Below are 14,817 nucleotides of genomic sequence, written 5' to 3' on the forward strand. Positions count from 1 at the left end.
TACCTAAAAAACTTTAAACCCAACAGAAAAAAAAAATCTAACTAGAAAATAGGCAACATGTTGGGAGGCTGAGACGGGAGGATCGCTTGAGCCCAGGAGTTTGAGACCAGCCTGGGCAACATGGTCACACCCCTGCCTCTACAAAAAATACAAAAATTTAGCCGGCTGTGGTGGTGCACACCTATAGTCCTAGCTACTTGGGGTGGCTGAGGCAGGAGGATCGCTTGAGCCCAGGAGATTGAGGCTGAGGTTGAAGTGAGCCATCTTGGCACCACTGCACTCTAGCCTGGGTGACAATACGAGAAATCCAAGTTAAAATCACCATGAGGTGTCACTATATACCTATAAGAATGGCTAAATTAAAAATAAGGACACCACCAAATGCTGGTAAGGATGTGCAGAAACTGGACCTCTCATACTTTCCTGGTAGGGATGCAAAATAATACAGCCATTCTGAGAAAGTCTGGCAGTTTCTTACAAAACTAAGCATGCAACTACCATATGACCCAACAATTGTATTCCTGGGCATCTATCCCAAAGAACTGAAGACTTATGCTTACATTATGAGTTACTGTACATGAATGTTTATAGCAGCTTTATTGCCAATAGCCAACAACTGAAAACAACCTAGATATCCTTCAAACTGTGGCACAATCATACCATGGAATACTACCCCAGCAAACTGCAGATATATGCAACAACCTGGATGAATCTCCAGAACTTTGCTGAGTTGAAAAAAAAAAAATCCAATCTCAAAAGGTTACTAACTGGGTGATTCCATTATATAAGTCTTGGAATGACAAAATTATAAGAATAAAAACGAATCACTGATTGTCTGGGGTTAAGAAGGAGGCAGGGCAGGAAAGAAGTGTGTGTGGTTATAAAAAGGCATTAAGGGATCCTCCTGGTCCTGGGAACATCCTTTATCTTCACTGTATCAATCAATGACAATATGCTGGTTGTGATATCGTACTATGGGTTTGCCAGATCTTATTGTGGAAAGGTGGATAAAGGGTACAGGGTTCTCACTATACTGTATTATTTCTTACAACTGCATATTAATCTACAATTAACGCAAAATACAGTTTAATTCGAAAATAAGTAAAGTTAGCCTCAAAGCAAATTAAGTACAATTAAAAATAAATCTAACATCAGCTAAATGAAGTGTTCTCTTCTGCTCAAGCTTGTTTGGATACGTAATCTATGAATCAAAGAATTTATAAAACACATTTTCCTCACCAGGACCCCTCAATTTTCCCTCACTCACACATGCACACAAACACAGCAACTGAGACAAGGGGGTCCAGACAGAAAATTTGAGATTTTTAAAAAATACGCGATAGAATGAAAAGAGACCTGGGCTGAATCAGGGAGAAAAATCTTTGTCCAGGTTCTATAAAACAAACCAACGGTGTCACTTTGGACGGATCCTCTAATCTCTCAGCCTGCAATCTGAACTGTTTCTACAATTTAAACTTCTCATGTAGGAGGTTGCTTAGTAGAGTGGTTCTCAAACTTTTTGGTCTCCAGCCTCCAAAGAGCTTTTGTTTACACAGATGAAAACCACCAATGTTTACTATCAAAAATTAAAAGGGAGAATTTGTTTTTAAGAATACACAGGCATCGGGCCTCCAAACGGCGGTGAGATCACTCCATACCATGTAGCCTTTGGAAAACTCGATGTACACGACCTTGGTACTATTAACGAAAATAGTTGTAACCACACTTGGAAAACCGCTGGCTTACTAACAAGCGAGATAAATCTACAAAAGTAACTGGAAAGGTTCAAAACAGTGAACAAACGCGTTCTTTTAGAGTACAAAAGAGTCAAGGCGGGAAAAAAACGGTTTAAAATCCCAATGGAGGAAAACTTGGACGACCACACCATCGGATAAAACGGGAGAGCTTTTGAAAAGCCAGGGGAGCCGGGCTTTCTCCCGGCGGCAGGGAGGCTCGGAAGTGCTCACGGCTGCAAAAGATGACCGCTATTCAATCAGTCCGCACTGCGCCTTCAACTCCGTTATAGCCGTAAGAGACCCACAAACACCGCTGTGGATGTAACTTTTGGCAAAGACCGGGAAGTCGTTCAAGAACTCTCCCACCGTCCCGACGCTGGCGCCGCGCCCCGCGAACCGGGGTCCGGCCGCGCCCAGGCTCCGCAGAGGCTCCTCTCCCGCCCCAGGCGCCCGGCCGCCGCGGAAGCCGGGGAGCACTGGGCGGGCGGGGCCGGAGGGGGCGCGGGTCACAATCCCGGGCCGGACCAGGGGGCCGGTGGGTCGAGGGCGGGAAGTCCCGCGGGGGCCGGGGAGCGCGGGGCTGGGGCCCCGGCGTCGGCGGGACTCACCAGGTGCCGCGCCACCTCGGAGGAGGCCATGGTCGCGGGCAGGGGCACGGTGAAGCGGCTGTATCAGCCCGGCCCCGAGCGGCTGGTCCCGGCGACGGCGGCGGGAAGGCCGGAGGGCAGAAGCAACGGGCGGGGCGCGAGGCTAGGCTGCCTCCGCGACGGGGAAGGGACAGGGGCGGGGCCGAGCTGGAGGCCTCCGGGGGCGGGGTTGGGGCGGACGCCCTGTGGTGCGCGCTGAGCGTTTTGCCTGCGCCAAGCGAGCCCCTCACAGGAGCTACCCTCGACGCCTGAGGACTGAGCGTCAGCGTTGGGGCGGGCTGAAGGAGAGCTGGGACTCCAGGAAGACGGCGCGAGGAATGCAGGCGGGAACTGCGGAGCAGTGATTGCGGCCCTCGCGAGGCCGGAAGTGGGCGGGCCTTGAGGCGAGGCCGCCCTAGGTAGGTGTGGCCGAGACAGCGGGGAGCGGAAGTGGGCGTGGCCTGGTGGCGTGGGCGCGGGGCGGGGGTGCGGGGGGCGTGTCCGCCCGGGCGCGGCCCAGTGAGGCGGTGGCCGAGTCCTCTGGCCTCAGACGCGTAGGCTGGCAGCCCGCTGAGCCCGCCAGACTCCGCCGCCGTCGGGAGCCGGCCGCTGGGAGCCCGTCGCTATGGGACCGCGCTGAGCCGCCCGCTGGCGGGGGAGCAGCGCGGTCGAGGATGGAGGGGCCGGCAGAGTGGGGCCCCGAGGCGGCGCTGGGCCCCGAGGCGGTGCTGCGCTTCCTGGCGGAGCGCGGGGGCCGGGCCCTGCACGCCGAGCTGGTGCAGCACTTCAGGGGCGCCCTAGGCGGCGAACCGGAGCAGCGCGCCCGCGCCCGCGCGCACTTCAAGGAGCTGGTGAACGCCGTGGCCACTGTGCGCGTCGATCCCGCCGACGGCGCCAAGTACGTGCACCTCAAGAAGAGGTTCTGTGAAGGGCCGTCCGAGCCCTCCGGGGACCCGCCGCGAATCCAGGTGACCGCCGAGCCCGAGGCCCCCGACGGCCCTGCCGGGCCCGAGGCGCGCGATCGGCTCCCCGACGCGGCGGCCCCGGAGTCGCTCCCTGGACAGGGCCGCGAGCTGGGCGAGGGAGAGCCCCCCGCCCCCGCGCACTGGCCGCCCCTGAGCGCCGGGGCTCGCAGGAAGAACTCGCGGCGCGACGTGCAGCCCCTACCGCGGACTCCAGCCCCGGGGCCCAGCGAGGACCTGGAGCTCCCGCCACATGGCTGCGAGGAGGCGGACAGGGGCAGCTCCCTTGTGGGGGCTACCGCACAGAGGCCGGCCCGCCAGAACCTCCGTGACCTGGTGATGGGCAGCTCCCCGCAGCTGAAGAGGAGCGTGTGTCCCGGGGGCAGCAGCCCGGGCAGCTCCTCCGGGGGAGGACGCGGCAGAGGCGGGGGCGACTCAGACAGCGCATCGGTGGCCTCGTCGTCCGCGGAGGAGGAGAGCAGCGGCGGAGGCTCCGTGACGCTGGACCCCCTGGAGCACGCGTGGATGCTCTCTGCCTCCGATGGCAAGTGGGACAGCCTGGAGGGCTTGCTCACCTGCGAGCCCGGCCTGCTGGTCAAGCGGGACTTCATTACCGGCTTCACTTGCCTGCACTGGGCCGCCAAGCACGGCAGGCAGGAGCTTCTGGCCATGCTAGTCAACTTCGCCAACAAACACCAGCTGCCGGTGAACATCGACGCCAGGACGAGCGGGGGTTACACCGCCCTGCACTTGGCAGCCATGCACGGCCACGTGGAGGTGGTGAAGCTGCTGGTGGGGGCCTACGACGCCGATGTGGACATCAGGGACTACAGTGGGAAAAAGGCCTCCCAGTACCTGAGTCGGAGCATCGCCGAGGAGATCAAGAACCTGGTGGGAGCCCTGGACGAGGGTGACGGGGAAAGCGCCGCGGGTAGCGGCGGCGGGCGCTGGAGGCTTTCAAAGGTGCTTCCCTCGCATCTCATCACCTACAAACTCTCACACGCCCTAGAAGATGGAGGGGACCATCACCACCATCACCACTCGGCTGAGGGGTGGGTCGGAGGCAAAGCCAAGGATCCAGGGCGCAAAGCCTCGGGCAGCTCTAGTGGACGTATAAAACCCAGACTCAACAAAATCCGATTCAGAACCCAGATCGTCCACACCACACCCTCTTTCAGGGACCCAGAGCAGCCGCTGGAGGGCAGGGGGGAGGAGGGAGTGGGGGAGGAACGACCTGTTAAAGGCCACTCGCCCTTCACATTGAGACCAAAGTCCAATGTATTTGGGTAAAAATTGCTTCTTTTAGAAAATGCAAAGGTTTATTTGTCTTAATAAATTGAATACTAGGTGTTGTAAGGAAGTGAGACCAGAAGGACAAGCTAAATTATGCATTCTTACTTGAGGGATCGGAATGGATGGGGCGGAGTTCTCTTCAGGCTAGCCTTCTGGGAAAAGTGGATGTCTTTTTCAGAGATTCATCATACCTTGACCTGTACCTCTTCTCTGCCCTCCACTTCCCTGCCCTGGAGTCCGTTTCTGGAGACTAGAAATGTATCTAAATTGGGGGAACAGAATGAATGAATTAATGAATGAGAGTTCCTTTGCTTTAACCATTCCTGGATGCCTGCAAAGTAAGGAATAATGCAGTTTTTATGTATCTGATTTTATAAGGGGTTACTCTTTCAAGAGTAACAAAAAAATGCAAACTGTAATGAAACTACATTGTATTTCTAAGTGTGAAAACGACAGGCTGCCCCGTTTTTACTAATTGCATTTGCATTTTAAGGTACTACTGAAGGTCAGATCAAAGTTGAAATGCAAAAATACTAATTAGAGAATAATGTGAATAAAATGGGAATCTTCTTGGTATTTTATGTGTATTGTAAGTAGCAGTTAAATTATTTTTTTAAAAGCAATTTCAGTTTTAATCACTGAACAAAAGAAACAGGCAACATTCACTTCTGTAGTATGGTTTCCACCTATCTCTAACACCACTATTAAGGTACACCAGTGTTAAGGTACATTAATAACTACACAAAATTTTATTTAAAGAGAACACTTAGCAGCCTATGATAGTTTTCAATAAAATGTTGCCTCTCTTTCGGATTCTCACTAACTTTTGTTACTATTCTAAAAGTTTGAATTTGCTGGGGTGTTTATTCTGAGGATTATTTAACCATTGTTCTATTTGGCATAACCCTATTTAATGGTGCTTAGAGCTGAATTACCTACAGAAACTGTTTCTGGTTTAAATAATTAGCACAAATTGGCCTAAGTATTCATGAGCCCATGTTTCTGTGAAGTAATTATTAAACCAACTTAATGATTCTTATGTAAGGTACACTTTTTATTTTAATACATTGGTAGTCTCTATGACTTGTAGCAATGTTTTACAAATGTTTAAAATGCTAAACTTAATTTTCCAAGCTTTTCTTGACAATTAGATACCTATCCTGTAGTTACTGAAAATCTGGGTAGTAAATCTACCCAATTAAAATGGCACTTTATAAAAGGGAATAGAGAAGAGATGGGACTATTTCTATATTTAAATGCTGCTGGCTATTCCTTTGTATATAAATGAAAAATACCATTCATTAAAATTAAGTACTCGTTTAAGTATGGTTCTTAATTACATTTCATTCATTTATATTAGAGTAAATGGCTTCATAACTACTTTAAAATTTAACCCACAAGCATATTAAATCTGTTTGTTATAAGATTGGAAACAATTTTTGAGAGGGACTAATTTAAACAAGTCCTCCTTTAGTCTTTTGGGTCGCGTAGTTGCTGAAACCTAAGTACCTGCAGCCTACAGGATAAGGAAGTTCACAGCCTGCGGGGTGAATGAACCCATGTGTGAACTGCACAGAGCAATTCATAGAAAATGCATAGAAATTTGTAACACTTTGGTCACATCTGTCTCTAGATGGTCATTGAATTTGTTTAAAGATGGATGAAAGGCCAGGCATGGTGGCTCATGCCTGTAATCCCAGCACTTTGGGAGGCCGAGGCAGGTGGATCACTTGAGGCCAGGAGTTTGAAACCAGCCTGGCCAACATGGTGAAAACCTGTCTCTACTAAAAATACAAAAATTAGCCGAGCGTGGTGGTGCGTGCCTGTAGTCCCAGCTACTTAGGAGGCTGAGGCATGAGAATCACTTAAACCTGAGAGGTGGAGGTTGCAGTTGAGCCAAGATCACGACACTGCACTCCAGCCTGGGCAACGGAGACTCTGTCTCAAAAAAAAAAAAAAAAAAGATGAATGAAAATATGAAATATATAAACTAGTATCCATTTATTTGCATTTATTGTGGGATTTCAGATATGAACGGTGTAAATTTGAGAAGCACTTATGCATACATGTGGGTGAAAAACCAATCTAATTTTGTATAAATAAAAACAGGCTCCTGGAAGGTGAAAAGTAGTCATTTGTTCTAAATCTATACATATTACTTGTATCTAGTGCAGAATAAGCTATAACATCCCATTGAGGAATCTTAAATTTCATAGACATGTAAAGCTGAAGTAACTCTAAAGAGCAGATGCTTCAGAACCATCAGAAGGTTCTGGTCAACAGTCAGTATTATCTCTTAAATGTATATGTTGGTCACTAATTGCACAAAATCTATAATTTGCCAGGGCTTTAGAGATTGAGTCAATATGTCATTTACCATGGTTTTCCCACTGAAGGCTTTAACTTTTCTGATAAAATAATATTTTAAATTTTCAAAAACCCATTCCTGAGGAGAACTACTTCTAGCATTCCTTTTCATGATGTGCTTTTGTGCAGTAAGTAGCATTTTCGGCTACTTAACTTTACATTCCTCTTATTTTTCAGTTTCCAGTCAAGATTATAAAAAGCAAATGATTGATATAATTTGATATTCATAGAGTTGTGCCTACCTTTAATGGAAAAATACATGTCAGATACTTAGATGTTTATTGATATGAGACTATGTGGTTAAAAAACCCAAGTATGTCCATGTGTTTCTTATAAGGTACACTTGAAACTAGTGAGTGTTTGTCACATTTCACTTTCATGGTATATAAAATGCAGTTTGCATATATAACTTGAATATCTGGTACTAGTTTTTTCACGCCTGCAATCTTGGAGTCTAGGTTGCCTTGTCTCTCCTATTTTTAAATAAGTGAAATTTGGGAGATTGTAAAATCTGTAAAGTTTGTTTTGTGAAAATAAAATGTTCACAGTAGAATTTTTCTCTGAATTGTCTAAGTTTCTGTCGTCCTTTAGACTTTTTACATATACTGTGTTTTACAGTTCACAAAATGCTTTTTGAAGTTTCAGTTTATTTGACCCTTTTCCTATCCCTTAAGATTATGGGCCATATATTGTTGACTTACAGATAAGAAAATAGAGGTTAATGGTTGTTCAGGGTCACACAGTAAAAAGCTGTTAGTAAGATTATAAGAGTCAGGGCTTTCCCACAACGTTATCTTTTCTGCACATTGAATTGCCACATTTTTAGCAAAACTGCTGTAGTTTGGCACCAGTGATGGAGGAATCAACTTGGAGAGAAGGTAATACCTCCACCACTACCTAAAAAAAAGCTGTATGGGTTTTGCACACACCATCTGCCATAAACCTGCCCTACCCAGGGCTGACTTCAAGACAGGTGTAGGAATACCGTTTTTCATTTTTCAGCCTCTGTGAAGCATTGAGAGTTAATTACCTCATCAAGGCTTCCTGTGATCTGTATTTTTAGCAAAATTCAACTCTGTTGAATGGCAAAGGGATGTGGTACTCCTTTGGTGTAATCGCCCACTATTGCTCTATCCGGGAGATCCCACTGTGATGGCTGCTGGGGTTATTCTTGTTTTATGATAACCCATAAAATATTTTTCAGGATCACTGAAAGACTAGATAAGTAGTTTGTTTTTCTAGAATAACTTCTTTCCTTAGAAGTACATGTCTTAAAAGGATTTATTAACCAGTTCACTTAAAGATATTTTTGAAATTTTCCTAGTAAAAATTATTTTTATTTTGCTAAGTAAATAGCATTATTTGGAGTTTCTTACATGATTAATTCCAGGATTAAATACTTGGAATTTGCTGTAAACCAGTATTCCTTCAATGATCACCCAAGTCTTCATAAATCACTGAATATTAGAGGGTTGGAAGATGACTCTACAGAAACTTGTTTCTCAAGATACAGAAGTCATGTGGTTCACATAACTACCTGCTTTTTCCATGAAGAACACTATACTTTTTTTCTCAATCTTCTCTTTAAATGTCAGTTTCATCTCAGTAAGTAGCTTTCCTATTCTGTTAACTAATAGCCTATTTTTCCACATCGATGCATTGGTAAGGAATGTGTGACAAATGTTCTACCCTTGCACAGTGCCTGGCATGTTGAAGGTACTCAGTAAGGGTCTTTTAATGGAAAACATTAAATATTTTATAATGTTACATAATATGGATAATTCAATTACATGCATTCATGCTATGTGAATAGTTTTTTTATATAACATGGCTCTTAAATACCAGCCTATCAGTTCATCTGCAGCTCAGCCAAAAGAACAGCAAGTTATTCCAATCCTGAAGATAAAATCAGCTTTATTAGAACTGTACTTCGTGAGCGATTTAAGAGATTTTCAAGAGTAAATTTGATTATAAGAAAATTTTGCTGGGCGTGGTGGCTCACGCATGTAATCCCAGCACTTTGGGAGGCCGAGGCAGGAGCATCGCCTGAGGTCAGGAGTTCAAGACCAGCCTGGCCAACATGGTGAAACCCAGTCTCTACAAAAAATACACAAATTAGCTGAGCATGGTGGTGCATGCCTGTAATCCCAGCTACTTGGGAGGCTAAGGCAGGAGAATCACTTGAACCCGGGAGGCGGAGGTTGCAGTGAGCTGAGATTGTGCCACTGCACTCCAGCCTGGGCATCACAGCGACTCTGTCTCAAAAAAAAAATAGAAAGAAAGAAAGTTTCCTTACAAGCTGACTCAAGTCCAAGACCTGTAGGAGAAATTATTCTAATTGGCCTTAAATAGTCTAAGTACTGTCAGGTATACAAATGACTACTTATTCTGTGAAATCCCAAAGAGCAAATGAATAGGGAAATGAAGTTTAGTTTAACATGGAGAACTTTCTAATAATCATTTTAAACATACCATGGACTGCCTTGTGAGATAGAACATTCAGCCTTTGGAAATGTGTCAGAGGTTGCATGAGCACCTGAAAATTTAAAATAGATCATTTTAAAGCACACTTGTGACCAGTTCTGTCTCAAGAAACACTGCTCTAAACCATATTCATTCTGACCAAAGCTTTGGCCAAAAGCAGCCTAACTTAGGATAAAGTTAACCAGTGCTTTGCCAGTGGTATAAAGTAGAATCATATAAGTTGTTGGTTTGTTGTTGTTGTTTTCTTTTTGAGATGGAGTCTTGCTCTGTTGCCAGGCTGGAGTGCAGTGGCGTGATCTTGGCTCACTGCAACCTCTGCCTCTCCGGTTCAAGCGATTTCCCTGCCTCAGCCTCCCGAGTAGCTGGGACTACAGTCGCGCGCCACTACGCCCAGATAATTTTTTGTATTTTAATAGAGACGGGGTTTCACCATGTTGGCCAGGATGGTCTCGATCTCCTGACCTCGTGATCTGCCCACCTCGGCTTCCTAAAAGTGCTGGGATTACATGTGTGAGCCACTTTTTTTTTTAACCCAACTTTATGCTATTCTGATCAAAGAACCTGGGAGCCCTCCATTAGAATAGTCTTCTGGATCTCTAAGAAACTTTGAATATAATAGTTTAGAAACATAATTGAGCATTCTTGAGATTTGTCCAGAAATTTCTGATATTGATGTTGGATCTTTGAATTTGCATTTAAGAGGCAATGATGGCCAGGTGCGGTGGCCTACACCTGTAATCCCAGCACTTTGGGAGGCCAAGGCAGGTGAATCACGAGGTTAGGAGTTCGAGACCAGCCTGGCCAACATAATGAAACCCCATCTCTACTAAAAATACAAAATATTAGCTAGGCATAGTGGTGGGCACATGTAATCCCAGCTGCTTGGGAGGCTGAGGCAGGATAATCTCTTTAACCCGGGAGGCGGAGGTTGCAGTGAGCTGAGATTGCACCACTGTACTCCAGCCTGGTCCACAGAGTGAGACTCCATCTCAAAAATAAATAAATAAATAAATAAATAAATAAAGAGGGAATTATTTGGTTGTAGTCAGTTCAGCACTATTGAGCAAAGAATCACCTTTGGCTTAGCCAGGTTTAGAATCACCTAGGTGCTGACATGGCAGCAAGACTAAGGTTAAGACTAAGACGGCTAAGACTTTCAGGAAGCTTACTATATATACCCGATGAGGTTTCAAGTACTTTATAAAAAGCAAGCTGTTTAACTCTCATAATACCCCTTCCCTGATTCTAGTACCTCACTTCTACTGATGGAGAACTGAAATGCAAAAACCCAAATAGCTGCTACTTGCCCAAGGTCACAAAGCTAGTTCTTAGCAGTTCAGCTTTGTGCTCAGGCAGACTGGCTCTAAGGTTTGTGGGAAGCCCTAGTGGTACAGGAAATACCACTTCTTTGGGAACATAAGAGACAGTCAACTGGCCTGAAGTTTATGGGGCTAGCACCTAATGAAGTACAAATGATACAGGAAATTCATACTATTGCAGAAGAGAGCAAACTAAGAACCAAAAACAAGCATTAATGATTGAGACAGATAATGACTTGAACACTCTGTTGTTACTTCACAGCAGTAGGGTTAGAACTGGATTTTTAGGGGTTTGCATTTTCCAGTGTCACCTAGGATCAAATTAATTTGGGTCAGGAAAGAATATTTCTTCAGCTCAGAATGGTGGAGCTGCTAAAATATTTGAGGTGTAGTTATATTTCTTTGTTTAGGCTCACCTCCCCTCTGTCCAGTCCCCTTTCACTTGTCTAAGCACTTAAGCATTAACGGAAGGGCTTAGCCCACTTCCACATAATCATGAGATTAAACGCCAGCGTAGAAGAAAACCAGCAACACGGCATCTGGTTTTCGTACTATACATTTATAAATTTGCAACCCACTAAAAGAATTTTGATAGTTCATTTTGAGGCCGGGCACAGTGGCTCATGCCTGTAATCCCAGCAATTTGGGAGGCTGAGGCAGGTGGATCACCTGAGGTCAGTAGTTCGAGACCAGCTGGCCAACATGGTGAAACCCTGTGTCTACTAAAACTACACAAATTAGCCAGGTGTGGTGGCACAGGCCTGTAATCCCAGCTACTCGGGAGGCTGAGAAAGAAGAATCACTTGAACCCAGGAGGCAGAGCTTGCACTGAGCTGAGATTGTGCCATTGCACTCCAGCCTGGGCAACAGAGTGAAACTCTGTCTCAAAAAAGAAAACAACAACAACAACAACAAAAAGATAGTTCATTTTGGCACAGGCGGGAGTGTTATGTTTGTTCTATCGGAATCTATTACAAAGGGTGCTATTTTCCCTGCCTGTAAATCCCTAGTGGCCTCTTCCTTGAGCCCATACCCACCCCCGGCCACTTGTCAGTGTCCTCCTCTGTGCCCCTGCATGTCCCTCTCTGGTGCACCACCAGTTTTCTTGCCCACTGTCCAACTGCTCTCCAGAGGGGATATCTCAGCCACACAGCTATCCTGAGCAGGCTTGTACTCGGGGGCTGTTTATGGGTTAACAGAATGAACAGCTCTTCTTGCCAGCTGGCCTCCTGCGGTCCGGACTCTGCCCCACAATTCTTGGATCTCTAAGAGGGTGACCTATCTGGAGCTTCCCCTGACTAAAACCCAGAGTGACCCCGATGGATGGCTTTTGGCAGGCGACTCCAGTTTCTGTGTGGTCAGGTGGAATTTGCCTAAAAGCTATCCCACTCTGATTATTCTTCCCAATGTCTGACCTTGAAATGGCTCATGGCTTAAGGTGTGCACCCAGGTGGGTGCTGTGAGAGAATTCTGTCCAGGAAAGAGAATGCTTTGGTCCGTAATCAACCTCTAGAAAACCATGATGCCTTTATCAAGAAGGTGGATACCACCATGGAAGCCAAAATCAATCTCCTAAAAGAACTCCAAAAACAAGGTTGGTAGGTTTGGGGTGGGGAGAGGAAAGGAGAAGGGAGAGGACCCAGGAGAGCCCAGGATGGGGTCTGGACAGCCAAGAGGTGCTCAAGAGAGTTTTTGGCAAAACACAGGGGTCTTCCCCTATGTCATCTTTGTGCCCATTTAATTTTACAACAACGTGATAGGTGCCTTCTGTGCACTGCACAGCTTGGGAAGGAGCTGGGTCTGCGGTTGACTCAGAGCTTTGCAAACTCACTTCTTCAAAAGAGGCCAAGGGAGCATGGAGGGTGGCCTGAGGCTAAGACAAAAACAAACACCAAAGTTCAGCCCATCTTACAAAATTGTTCTGAGATAACCTTCACTCAGGTGGTGCTCCAGGGAGGGGTGGCAGGAGGCAAGCAGAGCGGAGCAGGTAGAGGCCATCTGGCAGAGCGCTTTGAAAGCTAGCCTGAGAAATTGATTCAGAAAGAGGCTCTGGGAAGCTTTTTGAGCAGGAAGGTAACATGATGCATATTATATTTTAAGAAATTCACCTGGAAGAATCAACCGCTTTTACTACTCTGACCATTATTCTGAACCATGACACATGCTTTCAGCTGAACTTGCCCATCTCACAAACATGATTTCACTACTAGAGTGTTCTTCAGGTTTCCATCTACAGCCATCTGTGAGTTGTCTGGAGAATGTTGCTTGAGGTCTGCTTCTCTTTTTCTTCCCTTGTAGGGAGGTAATGAATAGTCTAGATATCTGAGATTGTGGTCTGATCGTACCAAGTGCTGCTAAAGATGTGGTGCAAAGAGAACTCTCATACACAGAAAGGGAGTCATTAGTGCCACCCTGGTGAGTAATGTGGAAAAACTACTTGGAAACGCAGTTGAAGACACACATACTCTTCAACTCAACTATTTCACTTCTCATTGCGTATGCTGCACCAGTGGTGGCCTTGGAACCAGCAGTATCCTCTTCTTAGAAATGCAGAATCTAGCCGGGCATGGTGGCTCACTCCTGTAATCCCAGCACTTTGGGAAGCCAAGGTGGGCAGATCACCTGAGGTCAGGAGTTCAAGACCAGCCTGGCCAACATGGCGAAACCCCGTCTCTACTAAAAATACAAAAATTAGCCTGGAGTGGTGGTGGGTGCCTGTAATCCCAGCTACTTGGGAAGCTGAGGCAGGAGAATTGCTTGAACCCAGGAGGTGGAGCTTTTAGTGAGTGGAGATGGCACCACTGCACTCCAGCCCTGGTGACACATCTCAACAACAACAACAACAACAAAAAAAAAAAAAAAAAAAAGAAAAGAAAAGAAAGAAAAGAAAAAGAAACGCATAATCTCAGGCCCCTCCGAGTCCTACTAAATTGGAATCTGCATTTTAGCCCCTGGGAATTCCCAGGCACTGGCCTGGAGATCTCAAACATATGTGCATAGGTATTTGTTGCAGCATTGTTTGTAATAGCAGCAGAAAAGGGAACAACCCAAATAGCCAACATATGGAGAACAGATAAATTGTGATGCTGTCATACAATGACATGTATAAAGCAGTTAAAAATAAATGAAGTAGGCCAGGTGCAATGGCTCATGCCTGTAATCCCAGCACTTTGGGAGGCCGAGGCAGGCGGATCGCGAGGTCAGGAGATCGAGACCACCCTGGCTAAGATGGTGAAACCCCGTCTCTACTAAAAATACAAAAAAAAAAAAAAAAAATTAGCTGGGCATGGTGGCACGTGCCTGTAGTCCCAGCTACTCGGAAGTCTGAGGAAGGAGAATCGCTTGAACTCGGGAGGTGGAGGTTGCAGTGAGCCGAGATCACGCCACTGCACTCCAGCCTTGGTGACAGAGCAAGACTCCGTCTCAAATAAAATAAAATAAAAATACAAATAAATGAAGTAGAGCCATATATGCCAGCATGGGTTGCATCCAAAATCATAACATGAAGAGAAAGAAAAGCGAATTGCAGACTGAAATGTAGAGTAGGATACACTGTATACAAAATGTAAAAACAAAACAATAATATTCTGTTTCATTTGGGGATACAAGCATGCTTAGTCAGAGTATTGACCATAAAGACCAAATTAAAGACATGGTTACCTCCGGGAGAAGGGGAGTGAAGTGGAGAAACTGAACTAGATCTGTGGTGTTCCCTTTCTTTAAGAAAAAAATTAGAATGAAACATAGCAAGATGTTTAAATGTGATAAAGCTAGGGTATATATTTGTCTACTACATTTTTCTGTGTTAGAAATATGGTATAAGGGGAAAAAAGAATTAAAATGACAGGTGGACCTTGGTCTCCCTTGCTATAACCTTCCTGTTCGTCCCTATTTTGTTGTTTCTTGAACTCATTGACAGTAACATCTAGATGATAACATCCAAATGCCCCTGAGAAGGGCCAGGCGCAGTGGCTCACACCTGTAATCCCTGAACTTTGAGAGGCCGAGGTGGGTGGATCATTTGAGGTCT

General features: G+C 46.0%; 3 protein-coding genes across 37 annotated transcripts in view, besides 4 other annotated features; 2 read left to right on the plus strand and 1 right to left on the minus strand.

The window, feature by feature from the left end:
* The window catches only part of SEPTIN10 (septin 10), a 71,168-nt gene extending 68,655 nt beyond the window's left edge, over positions 1 to 2,513 (minus strand). For 25 of the 35 annotated variants that reach the window (NM_001321503.2, NM_001321506.2, NM_001321511.2 and 22 more), the window contains exon 1: positions 2,345 to 2,513. In NM_001321503.2, the coding sequence (NP_001308432.1) occupies positions 2,345 to 2,374 (30 nt within the window). In that variant the 5' untranslated portion in view covers positions 2,375 to 2,513. Of the gene's footprint in view, positions 1 to 1,658; positions 2,215 to 2,344 lie in introns of those variants that run through there. The other 10 variants (NM_001321515.2, XM_047443486.1, XM_047443483.1 and 7 more) reach the window with 2 other exon arrangements.
* Positions 1 to 14,817, plus strand: part of RANBP2 (RAN binding protein 2) — a 1,122,820-nt gene that overhangs the window by 891,972 nt on the left and 216,031 nt on the right. The gene's annotated exons all lie outside the window — the stretch shown is intronic.
* Positions 1,403 to 2,312: an enhancer, noted in NCBI's record as "H3K27ac hESC enhancer chr2:110370433-110371342 (GRCh37/hg19 assembly coordinates)". NCBI's record gives its function as "activates a minimal SCP1, AML or CMV promoter by ChIP-STARR-seq in naive H9 embryonic stem cells {active_cell/tissue: H9 hESC(naive)}" and the evidence as "EXISTENCE:reporter gene assay evidence [ECO:0000049][PMID:30033119]".
* Positions 2,165 to 2,254: a silencer, noted in NCBI's record as "silent region_11860". NCBI's record gives its function as "represses an Ori minimal core promoter by ATAC-STARR-seq in GM12878 lymphoblastoid cells {active_cell/tissue: GM12878}" and the evidence as "EXISTENCE:reporter gene assay evidence [ECO:0000049][PMID:35858748]".
* Positions 2,285 to 2,534: a silencer, noted in NCBI's record as "silent region_11861". NCBI's record gives its function as "represses an Ori minimal core promoter by ATAC-STARR-seq in GM12878 lymphoblastoid cells {active_cell/tissue: GM12878}" and the evidence as "EXISTENCE:reporter gene assay evidence [ECO:0000049][PMID:35858748]".
* Positions 2,795 to 2,964: a silencer, noted in NCBI's record as "silent region_11862". NCBI's record gives its function as "represses an Ori minimal core promoter by ATAC-STARR-seq in GM12878 lymphoblastoid cells {active_cell/tissue: GM12878}" and the evidence as "EXISTENCE:reporter gene assay evidence [ECO:0000049][PMID:35858748]".
* Positions 2,911 to 7,537, plus strand: SOWAHC (sosondowah ankyrin repeat domain family member C). The gene has a single exon (NM_023016.4). It carries the CDS (start codon positions 3,037 to 3,039, stop codon positions 4,612 to 4,614), a length of 1,578 nt encoding a protein of 525 aa, NP_075392.2. The 5' UTR covers positions 2,911 to 3,036; the 3' UTR covers positions 4,615 to 7,537.

The sequence above is a fragment of the Homo sapiens genome, chromosome 2 (assembly GCF_000001405.40).
Source record: "Homo sapiens chromosome 2, GRCh38.p14 Primary Assembly".
Taxonomy (NCBI): Eukaryota; Metazoa; Chordata; class Mammalia; order Primates; family Hominidae; genus Homo; species Homo sapiens.

Coding starts and splice junctions, on each gene's coding strand:
- SOWAHC (NM_023016.4), top strand. CDS start 3,037: ATGGAGGGGCCGGCAGAGTGGGGCCCCGAGGCGGCGCTGGGCCCCGAG.